At 36.3% G+C, this 12,897-nt stretch overlaps 2 protein-coding genes across 3 annotated transcripts in view; one reads left to right on the forward strand and one right to left on the reverse strand.

Moving 5' to 3' along the window:
* PTGER4 (prostaglandin E receptor 4) overlaps positions 1-12,897 on the forward strand; it is a 66,886-nt gene that overhangs the window by 25,317 nt on the left and 28,672 nt on the right. The gene's annotated exons all lie outside the window — the stretch shown is intronic.
* Positions 6,345-12,897, reverse strand: part of TTC33 (tetratricopeptide repeat domain 33) — a 44,386-nt gene continuing 37,833 nt past the window's right edge. For both annotated transcript variants that reach the window (NM_012382.3, XM_011514003.4), the window contains exon 5: positions 6,345-11,267. In NM_012382.3, coding sequence (NP_036514.1) covers positions 10,914-11,267 — 354 coding nt within the window. In that variant the 3' untranslated portion in view covers positions 6,345-10,913. The remainder of the gene's footprint in view (positions 11,268-12,897) is intronic.

Here is a 12,897-nt window from a genome sequence, read left to right on the forward strand (position 1 = left end):
TCATATTCTATAAATGGTACTGGGATAACCAGCTAGCCATATGCAGAAGATTGAAGCTGGACCCCGTCCTTACACCATATACAAAAATCAACTCAAGAAGTATTAAAGAGTTACATGTAAAACTCAAAACTATAAATACCCTGGAAGACAATCTAGGCAATACCATCCTGGACCTAGGAATGGGCAAAGATTTCATGACAAAGACACCAAAAGCAATTCCAACAAAAGCAAAAATTGACAAATGGGATCTAATTAAACTTAAGAGCTTCTGCACAGCAAAAGAAACTACCAACAGAGTAAATAGACAACCTAAAGAATGGGAGAAAACATTTGCAAACTGTGCATCTGACGAAGGTCTAATATCCAGCATCTATAAGGAACTTAAACAAATTTACAAGAGAAAAACAAACAACCCCATTAAAACATGGGCAAAGGACATGAACAGACACTTTTCAAAAGAAGACATAAATGCAACCAAAAAGCATATAAAAAAAGCTCAATATCACTGATCATTAGAGAAATGCAAATCAAAACCATGAGATACCATCTCACACTAGTCAGAATGGCTATTATAAGAAAGTCAAAAAATAACAGATGCTAGCTGGCAAGGTTGTGTAGAAAGGGGAACCCTATACACTGTTGGTGGGAGTGTAAATTAGTTCAACCATTGTGGAAAGCAGTATGGTGATTCCTCAAAGAACTAAAAGCAGAACTACCATCCAATCCAGCAATCCCTTTACTGGGTGCCTTTACCCAGAGGAATATAAAGCATTCTACCATAAAAACACATGCATGCAAACGTTCATTGCACACTGTTTACAATAGCAAAGACTTGGAATCAACCTAAAGGCACATCAATGACAGACTGGCTAAAGAAAATATGGTACATATACATCATGGAGTATTAAGCATCCACGAAAGAGAATGAGATCATGTCTTTCATGGGAACACGGATGGAGCTGGAGGCTATCATCCATAGCAAACTAACACAGGAACAGAAAACCAAATACTACATGTTCTCACTTATAAGTGGGAGCTAAATAATAAGAATTTATGAACACAATGAAGGAAACAGCAGACAATGGGGTCTACCTGAGTGGGGAGGGTGGCAGGGGGGAGAAGAGCAGAAAAGATAACTATTGGGTACCAAGCTTAATACCTGAATGATGTAATAATATATACAACAAACCCTCATGACACGTGTTTATCTTTGTAACAAACCTTTACATGTACCCCAAACCTAAAATAAAAGTTAAAAAGTAAAATAACTTAAGCTTAAAACAAAAAGTTAGGGGACCAGGTGAAAATATGAATAACAACAACAAAATTAACATGAAATGGATCATAGGCCTAATCATAAAAGTTAAGCCTATAAAACTTCAGCACAAAGCAGAAAATCTTTGTGATTTGGGAGTAAGGACAGGTTTCTTAGCACACAAAAAGCACAACCAAAAAGGAAAAAAAAAATTGTAAATTAGACATCATGAAAATTAAAAACTTCTGCTCTTTAAAAGGTATCATTATGAAAACAAACAAGCAGCCAGAGAGAAAGGTCAGGTTACCCACAAAGAAAAGCCTATCAGACTCACAGCTGATCTCTCGGCAGAAACTCTACAAGCCAGAAGAGAGTGGGGGCCAATATTCAACATTCTTAAAGAAAAGAATTTTCAACCCAGAATTTAATATCCAGCCAAACTAAGCTTCATAAGTGAAGGAGAAATAAAATCCTTTCCAGACAAACAAATGCTGAGAGGTTTTGTCACAACCAGGCCTGCCCTACAAGAGCTCCTGAAGGAAGCACTAAACACGGAAAGGAACAACCGGTACCAGCCACTGCAAAAACATGCCAAATTGTAAAGACCATCAAGGCTACGAAGAAACAGCATCAACTAACGAGCAAAATAACCAGCTCACATCATAATGACAGGATCAAATTCACACATAACAATATTAACCTTAAATGTAAACGGGATAAATGCTCCAATTAAAAGACACCGGACTGGCAAATTGGATAAAGAGTCAAGACCCATCGGTGTGCCGTATTCAGGAAACCCATTTCACGTGCAGAGACACACATAGGCTCAAAATAAAGGGACGGAGGAAGATCTACCAAGCAAATGGAAAAGAAAAAAAGGCAGGGGTTGCAATCCTAGTCTCTGATAAAGCAGACTTTAAACGAACAAAGATCAAAAGAGACAAAGAAGGCCATTACATAATGGTAAAGAGAGAAATTCAACAAAAAGAGCTAACTATCCTAAATATATATGCACCCAATACAGGAGCACCCAGATTCATAAAGCAAGTCCTTACAGACCTACAAAGAGACTTAGACTCCCACACAAAAATAATGGGAGACTTTAACACCCCACTGTCAACATTAGACAGATCCACGAGACAGAAAGTTAACAAGGATATCCAGGAATTGAACTCAGCTCTGCACCAAGTCGACCTAACAGACCTCTACAGAACTCTCCACCCCAAATCAACAGAATACACATTATTCTCAGCACCACACCACACCTATTCCAAAACTGACCACATAGTTGGAAGTAAAACACTCCTCAGCAAATGTAAAAGAATAGAAATTACAACAAACTGTCTCTCAGACCACAGTGCAATCAAACTAGAACTCAGGATTAAGAAAATCACTCAAAACCGCTCAACTACATGGAAACCAAACAACCTGCTCCTGAATGACTACTGAGTACATAATGAAATGAAGGCAGAAATAAAGATGTTCTTTGAAACCAACAAGAACAAAGACACAACATACCAGAATCTCTGGGACACATTTAAAGCAGTGTGTAGAGGGAAATTTATAGCACTAAATGCCCAAAAGAGAAAGCAGGAAAGATCTAAAATTCACATCCTAACATCACGATTAAAAGAACTAGAGAAGCAAGAGCAAACACATCCAAAAGCTAGCAGAAGGCAAGAAATAACCAAGATCAGAGCAGAACTAAAGGAGATAGAGACACAAAAAAACCTTCAAAAAATCAATGAATCCAGGAGCTGGCTTTTTGAAAAGATCAACAGAATGGATAGACCGCTAGCAAGACTAATAAAGAAGAAAAGAGAGAAGAATCAAATAGACACAATAAAAAATGATAAAGGGGAGATCACCACTGATCCCACAGAAATACAAACTGCCATCAGAGAATACTATAAACACCTCTATGCAAATAAACTAGGAAATCTAGAAGAAATGGATAAATTCCTCGACACATACACCCTCCCAAGACTAAACCAGGAAGAAGTTGAATCTCTGAATAGACCAATAACAGGCTCTGAAATTGAGGCAATAATTAATAGCTTACCAACCAAAAAAACTCCAGGACCAGATGGATTCACAGCCGAATTCTACCAGAGGTACAAGGAGGAGCTGGTACCATTCCTTCTGAAACTATTCCAATCAATAGAAAAAGAGGGAATCCTCCCTAACTCATTTTGTGAGGCCAGCATCATCCTGATACCAAAGCCTGGCAGAGACACAACAAAAAAAGAGAATTTTAGACCAATATCCCTGATGAACATCGATGCAAAAATCCTCAATAAAATATTGGCAAACTGAATCCAGCAGCACATCAAAAAGCTTATCCACCATGATCAAGTGGGCTTCATCCCTGGGATGCAAGGCTGGTTCAACATATGCAAATCAATAAACGTAATCCAGCATATAAACAGAACCAAAGACAAAAACCACATGATTATCTCAATAGATGCAGAAAAGGCCTTAGACAAAATTCAACAGCACTTCATGCTAAAAACTCTCAATAAATTAGGTATTGATGGGATGTATCTCAAAATAATAAGAGCTATCTATGACAAACCCACAGCCAATATCATACTGAATGGGCAAAAACTGGAAGCATTCCCTTTGAAAACTGGAACAAGACAGGGATGCCCTCTCTCACCACTCCTATTCAACATAGCGTTGGAAGTTCTGGCCGGGGCAATCAGGCAGGAGAAAGAAATAAAGGGTATTCAATTAGGAAAAGAGGAAGTCAAATTGTCCCTGTTTGCAGATGACATAATTGTATATCTAGAAAACCCCATCGTCTCAGATCAAAATCTCCTTTAGCTGATAAGCAACTTCAGCAAAGTCTCAGGATACAAAATCAATGTGCAAAAATCACAAGCATTCTTATACACCAATAACAGACAAACACAGAGCCAAATCATGAGTGAACTCCCATTCACAACTGCTTCAAAGAGAATAAAATACCTAGGAATCTAACTTACAAGGGATGTGAAGGACCTCTTCAAAGAGAACTACAAACCACTGCTCAGCAAAATAAAAGAGGATACAAATAAATGGAAGAACATTCCATGCTCATGGATAGGAAGAATCAATATCATGAAAATGGCCATACTGCCCAAGGTAATTTATAGATCCAATGCCATCCCCATCAAGCTACCAATGACTTTCTTCACAGAATTGGAAAAAACTACTTTAAAGTTCATATGGAACCAAAAAAGAGCCCACATTGCCAAGTCAATCCTAAGCCAAAAGAACAAAGCTGGAGGCATCATGCTACCTGACTTCAAACTATACTACAAGGCTACAGTAACCAAAACAGCATGGTACTGGTACCAAAACAGAGATACAGACCAATGGTGCTGGGAAAACTGGCTAGCCATATGTAGAAAGCTGAAACTGGATCCCTTCCTTACACCTTATACAAAAATTAATTCAAGATGGATTAAAGACTTAAATGTTAGACCTAAAACCATAAAAACCCTAGAAGAAAACCTAGGCAATACCATTCAGGACATAGGCATAGGCAAGGACTTCATGTCTAAAACACCAAAAGTAACGGCAACAAAAGCCAAAATTGACAAATGGGATCTAATTAAACTAAAGAGCTTCTGCACAGCAAAAGAAACTACCATCAGAGTGAGCAGGCAACCTACAAAATGGGAGAACATTTTTGCAATCTACTTATCTGACAAAGGGCTAATATCTAGAATCTACAAAGAACTCAAACAAATTTACAAGAAAAAAACAAACAACCCCATCAAAAAGTGGGCAAAGGATATGAACAGACATTTCTCAAAAGAAGACATTTATGCAGCCAAAGGACACATGAAAAAATGCTCATCATCACTGGCCATCAGAGAAATGCAAATCAAAACCACAGTGAGATACCATCTAACACCAGTTAGAATGGCAATCATTAAAAAGTCAGGAAACAACAGGTGCTGGAGAGGATGTGGAGAAATAGGAACACTTTTACACTGTTGGTGGGACTGTTAACTAGTTCAACCATTGTGGAAGACAGTGTGGCAATTCCTCGGGGATCTAGAACTAGAAATACCATTTGACCCAGCCATCCCATTACTGGGTATATAACCAAAGGAATATAAATCATGCTGCTATAAAGACACATGCACATATATGTTTATTGTGGCACTATTCACAATAGAAAAGACTTGCAACCAACCCAAATATCCAACAATGATAGACTGGATTAAGAAAATGTGGCACATATACACCATGGAATACTATGCAGCCATAAAAAAGGATGAGTTCATGTCCTTTGTAGGGACATGGATGAAGCTGGAAACCATCATTCTCAGCAAACTATCACAATGCCAAAAAACCAAACATCACATGTTCTCACTCATAGGTGGGAATTGAGCAATGAGAACACTTGGACACAGGGCAGGGAACATCACACACTGGGGCCTGTTGTGTGGTGGGGGGAAAGGGGAGAGATAGCATTAGGAGATATACCTAATGTAAATGATGAGTTAATGGGTGCAGCACAGCAACATGGTACATGTATACATATGTAACAAACCTGCACATTGTGCACATGTACCCTAGAACTTAATGTATAATAAAAATATGTATATATATATATAGAAAACAAACAAGCAAGCTGCAGATAGGAAGATAATATACACAATACTTACAGCTCATGAAGGACTTCTATCCAGTAGAAAGGAAAACTCTTACAACTCAATAAGAAGATGACTTAAATCAAAAATGGGCAAAATATTTGAAAAGTTACTTTCCAAAAAAGAGAAATGTCAGATAAGCCTATGAAAAGATGCTCAACATTATTAGGGAAATGCATATTAAAACCACAATGAAATACTACTACATATCCACTAAAGTGTCTAAAATTTAAAAGACTGACAATATCAATCATTGACAAGGATATGGAGAAACTGAAATTAATTTAATACATTGCTAGCAGAAATCCCAAATGGTACAGATAATTTGGAAAAGTTTGGCAGTTTCCTTTAAAGTTGTGCATAAACTGGTCATAAGACTCAGCAATTCCATCCCTAGGTATTTACATAAGAGAAATGAACACATATGTCCACACATAGAATTGTGATTTATATATATAGCAGCTTTATTCATAATAGATCAAAACTTGAAACAACCTAAATGTCCATCAATAGGTGAACAGCTAAACAAATTGTGGTATATCTATATACTAGAATACTATTCAGCAATAAAAAGGAACTTATTATTGATACACATGATAACATGGATGAATCTCAACATGGATGGGTTTCAAAAGCATCATGTTAAGCAAAAAAAAAGTCAGACACAAAAAGAGTGCATATTATATGGCCTATTTATTTCAAACTCTAGAATTCTGAAGTCAAATCTAACGTATAGCCACAGAAAGCAGAAAAGTAGTTGACTAGGGATGGCTGTTCAGGTGGAGGGGAACCAACTGCAAAAGGGCTTTAGAGAACTTTTTGGGTGATGGACACACACTATATCAGGATGGTAGTGGTGGTGAAGTGGGTGTTTACATTTGTCAAAACTCTCCCAACTATAACGTTAAAATACTTGCATTTTATTATTTCTAAGTTATACTCATTTAAGAAAGTTAATAGAGGTGAACAGAGGATATCCTAATTCATTTCACATTCTTCCCTTCCAATTCAATCTAGAGTCAACAATGTGGTCTGTCACAATTCCAACTCAGCAGACCTTTTAAATATCCTGAACAAATGTTTACCTGTTGCCTTGTAATTAACACTACTCAATTTCAATAGAATTTCCATTATTTAAAAAAAACCTCTAAAATTAGGAAAGAATTCCCACATGTGGTTTTTAATATATCTCATGCTTACTTCGAAATATAATCTGCACTAGTCTTTGTTAAAGTTTGAGGGAGTCATAAAATAATGTCCCTCTCCTCTCCTGACCTCTGAACCACTTGAGACACAGACAGATGGAGATTCAATATTTTAAGTTTACTGCTGAAAAAGGCTAGGTTAGAGGATGTACTTTAAGTTTATGCCAACAATAGCCACCAGATATTGAACTTAGAATTAGACAGACCTGCTTACTAAGGCATGGGCAGTTCTGCACAAGCACAAATCTCCCTTTGCAGAGGCAAAGAACTTTCACTGCAAGGTTCACAATGTAGCTGGCAAGAGACCACAACATCGGTTCTCTGCAGTTATGACAAATCCACAAAAGGGAAAAAAGAGGCTAGCATGCCCAGTTCTATATCTTAAACTCCCTCCTTTCCTGGTGAAGTGAGAGAAAGAGATTAGAATTCCTTGGTAAATGGATAGCCTAAGAAGCACTGTGAGAGGAAGCCATCCTTACCCGCCGCTGCCTTCTGACCAAAGTAGTTCATATATAGTGCACATTAGGGCATGATTCATGTTACAGTAGCTTTAGGGCCACACTTCTTCTTCCGAAGTAACCATATTTAATTGCAAGTGACTAAGGTAAATGACTTTAGGGATAACCTCCTTTATTTCATTTTATTTCTGTTTTATAATTTATATATTTCAATATCTTATTATTGGTAAGAAAAACTTAACTTTCTCAGTCCTAAAATTCTTTATTATCAAATACATCAGTTTAATAATAATCTCTAAGGAAGAAAAAAACACATTTAAGATATCCATTGATTTGAAGATAATTATTATGGAACTATGGTTCTTATGTCAACTCACAACTCATTTAGATATTAATACATGTATCATGAAATCATAGCTCAGAATTGCTGGTCCAGAGTCACTTTAGAATGGCTCTGATTCAAGGAAATTAAAAGAAATGATTGTTAATTTTCTTAGTGCTGGGAAAGGCAGTGAAACAAGCTTTTGAATCATTATGTAATTTTCAAACAACTAAAAGGGCTATACTGTTCAGTTATAATCTTAAAAATTCTAGCTGAGACAGAGCTTTTAAAAAATCTTTATAGTTTTACCATACGGCATCAATTCAAAAGATTGTCATACTGAAACCACTGCCATAAAATTTTGTATGTAGGCCCCAGTTGCAGTAGATCTGGCTCCTGTGAGCTATAACTTGCATGGCTTTTCAATGTTTATGTAGTGTCTGTTAATATATTTAAGATAAATACTCTATAACCAAACAGCCTGTTTTCTAGAGAATGATATATGATTCTTGTGTTATCAGGCATGGTCTGGATGTCTAGACACTCTGACTAATGAGTGTCTATGCCATACAATTCTCAAACAAGAATAATGTAAATTATAGTCAATATAACTTGAACAGTAAACAGTGTTATTTCAGAAAGTATATTAAACATCTATATCATTATCATGAACATCAATTCTCTTCAGATTCATAAAGATTTGTTATTAAAATTAACAAGCTTAGTCTATGTTTGTATATCAGTATTCACATCCTTGTAAAATAATGGGTGCATTTTTCTCTTCACGCATAGAAGAGTATGAGCTAAAATAAGCATTTTGAGGGGCCTGCAGAAATGAGCTGCCTTCCTTCTCCATAACTTACTGTTTCTTTTTCTCCTCTGTCTTATGTCTAAACTATTTTATGTCTTATATCTGGGTAAGAAAGAGACTAACTTGGCCTACCATGCCAGTACAGAGGAAACACTAGGTTCTTATAACAGGGCCTAGTGGCCACATGCATTCCATCCTGAGTCTTGCCTCTTTGGGACTTGAGCTATAGACCCTGTCAAGAAAAATCCCACTATCTCTCCTATAATACTGGAATCAGAGACTTCTTACTTTCAGATAAGGAAAGGATTACAAAAAAAGTTCTCCTTTTTTAAAATCAGAGGAAATTGAGGTTAAATATCTCCAAACTAACTCAAGTTCTTCATAGAAATAGCTAGCATTTACTGAAATAGCTGGCATTACTTCATGTGTGAGGCACCATGCAAGGTACTTTAAATATATTAAGTTCATATAAGAAAGACACTAAGTAGATCAATCTAATTTTTCAAAAGCTAACAACATAAAATAATAGGAAAATCTTCAAAATGCAGAAAAAAACTATTTATTCACAAATTACACAAAAAACAAACATCCATTACTCAAAACAATATACCAAATGTTGAGTACTCACTTCTCTAGATACCTATTTACGTTTTGAGAATGTTCTTTATTAAACAAAATAAAATAATTAACATATTTTTTGGAGCACTCTGAAACTAACCTCTCTAACCAGAGCTAATTTTCTGATGATATAACTTAAGGAAAGAATATTCTTTTCAAGGCAAGTGCTAATTTCTCCAACCCTGAAAAGAGATATGCATTCCAATAAAACAAAAGTTTTAAAAACCATCTTCATAAAAAATGTAGATCATTACTTATAAGCTCCAACAGTAGTAAGATCTTTAACATAAAGTGGGCTACTTTCATCTCTAACAAAGATAAAATTAATACACCAATAGTATCTTCCTGAGTGTCAGAAGTAACAGAACCCAACAGTTCTATATTATTGTACTACAATATATAGTATAAAAATAATAGTTCAGATTAGCAATGACAGTATTGGTTTGTGAATATGACTGTGGACTTTCAATAAAATTTTTTTTAATATAGCCTTTTCATACTCATGAGATTGTACTATAAATCACATTCCAATTTCTATGTATTTTGTGCTTAAGTTATTTATTCATTGGCACTCTAATAACAGCCCTACTTTTTTATTTTTAGAAAGATATAATTAGCTATTTAAAATTGTAATTATTTTTCATTTCACTGAGTAGTTTCAAAAAAAGTTATCTAGAAAAGTAATTCCCAGTCATCAAATGGAAAGACACAAGCAAGAAGTAAGTTGTTTCCAGGGTTTTTAAAGCTTTGTAAAATAAAGAAAAGAAAGTATTGGTTTTGACTGGGATAATATAGCAGTACAATTGTCATTAACCTATCTGTAAAAGCCATTCATTTAAAAATGCATATTTTAAAAATGACTCATTTGTGGTAAGGATTACTTACTGTAACAATTAAAAAATAAAACCATCATTCTCATATTTATCAATACTTTACACTTTTACCAAATACTGAAGGAGACAACTATCATTGTTACAACTTCAAAGTCAAAACAGAAACACAAATCAGAATTAAGAGAAACTTCAGAAAATGTTCAGAATGTACACATTTGTGTGCATTTTCAGCCAAACTTTCAAAGATTCCACATATAACCAAATGACAACTTTGAATCAAAATGAATGTCAAAAATATTCAAGCTTTCTGACAGACTTACTCTAATGAAGCAAGAAAAAGACAGCAAATATTAAGCGCAGTATATTTCTCAGAGGGAGGGAAATCACACACTTCCTTTATCATAAAACAAAAGTTGAGACAGCATTTCAGTAACATTGATCAAATTATTCACTATTCAAGAATACATTTTTCAAGTTTTGTCTTTAAAATGTATTCATTTACATATTCAGATTAAACTAAGTTTATTAATCAAAGACCATTTTACTCAGAATTTTAACCTTGAGAAATATAAATCATAACTTATCAAAGCATATTCCAAACACTATACAATAATCCTGCCATTTTAGTTTTTATATGCCTCATCTGAAAAACATATTTTACAACCAGGCGTTCTCCTATCTATCTCCAGAGTAAATGTCTCTATGTCAAAACTTCAAGAGGCAATCAAAAAGACAGATTCAAATAATCCTATGCATACTGCTTCATCGGGCTTTGATAAAAACAGAGCCATCTGGTGGTGTAGCACCATCCTCCTTTTCAGTTACAGTCTCTATGGCCCCAGAAGCAGACACAATAACCATTGTTTTATTTGCTGAAACTGTCTTCTCTTTCTCAGCAATAGCTGCACAAACAGCAACAATCTCATCACTTTCAAAGTCATAGTCTGGAATTGACTTTGGTGAAAAGTGTGTTACTTCAGCTGGTGCTTCACTTTTTTTAATCCTCTGTGCTACCTTCTGCTGCTCCTGGAGCGTTCTTGCCCAAGAGAGGTCTTCTTTCCATATTTCAGGGTTCATTGGATAGATGTGAAGGGCTACTTGAAAACTTCGAATTGCCTAGAAAATAAGGTCAGAGTTTTTTGTTTTGGTTTTAAAAATTAGTATGTTTAATACAATCCTGTGTGTTTACGTACATATATACTGTACACATACACATCCTAATGCATTATCTTAATGTACTAGAACACAAAAGATGGAAGCTACGGTGTTGCCCTAAACACTGGGGAAAAAAATTATAGAAGTGTGAAAGAAAGTGACTGACAATATGCTTATGGACTAAAAGCCATTAAAATGGGAGTACTCATAATAGGGCTAAAGATAAAGCAAATATATTCTCAGCTTCAGTAGACCAGTAAGTATGTACATTTGGGGATTTCCTGGGCTAACCCACAATCACAAAGGTACCAGGAGTGGATATCTTTGAAGTTAACAGTTTAGATCCTAACAATGTTAACATTTATTGACTGTTTACTACATTCTAGGCACTAAAGATTTACATGTATTTGGCTGGGCACGGTGGCTCATACCTGTAATCCCAGCACTTTGGGAGGCTGAGGTGGGCGGATCACCTGAGGTCAGGAGTTCAAGACCAGCCTGGCCAACACAGTGAAACCCTGTCTCTACTAAAAATACAAAAATTAGCCAGGCATGATGGCGGGTGCCTGTAATCCCAGCTACCCAGGAGGGTGAGGCAGGAGAATCGCTTGAACCCGGGAGACAGAGGTTGCAGTGAGTTGAGATCACGCCATTGCACTCCAGCCTGGGCAAAAAGAGCAAAACTCCATCTCAAAAAAAAAAAAAAAAAAGATTTACATGTATTAACTCATCTATCCTCACAATAATCATATGAAGTAGGTATGGTTATTGTTTTCAGTACTATTTTAGAGAAGCACAGAAAGAGTAGAAACCAAAGGTATCAGCTGGGAATTGGCAGAGCTGGGATGCAAATTCAGGCAGTCTGGCTTCAGAGTCCATTCTCTTATTCATTATATTATACTGCTTAGTCACAAGAACTCCACTACAGTCTGGATAAAGGTCAACCTCAGCACTACTGACATATTTGGCTGAGTAATTCTTTATTTTGGAAGGGCTGTCCTCTATAATGTAGAATATTCAGCAACATCCCTGACCTACACTCACTAAATCCAATACAGCTTCCTTTCCTAGTTGTGATAAACAAAAATGTCTCTAGACATGGCAAATGTTCTCTGGGGGTAAAACTGCCCTCCAAGTGAGAATCATTGGTCTAAATCTATTATATGTTGTTTTCTCTGAGTATACTTAGTCTCTGGATAGAAGATTCTCATGCAAACAGATTAGTTTTAAGATTGCACTTAATCGGCCAGGCACCATGGCTCACGCCTGTAATCCCAGCACTCTGGGAGGTCAAGGCAGGCGGATCACCTGAGGTCAGAAGTTCAAGACCAGCCTGGCCATGGTGAAAACCCGTCTCTACTAAAAATACAAAAAATTAGCCAGGTGTGGTGGTGCACGCCTGTAATCCCAGCTACTCGTGAGGCTGAGGCAGGAGAATCGCTTGAACTCGGGAGGCGGAGGTTGCAGTGAGCCAAGATCGCACAATTATGCTCCAGCCTGGGCAACAAGAGCGAAACTCCGTCTCAAAAAAAAAAAAGATTGCACATAATCTACAGATTTACAATCTAATAGGCCCTTTAGAGAAGTCATA

This window comes from Homo sapiens, chromosome 5 (assembly GCF_000001405.40).
Source record: "Homo sapiens chromosome 5, GRCh38.p14 Primary Assembly".
NCBI classification, from domain to species: Eukaryota; Metazoa; Chordata; class Mammalia; order Primates; family Hominidae; genus Homo; species Homo sapiens.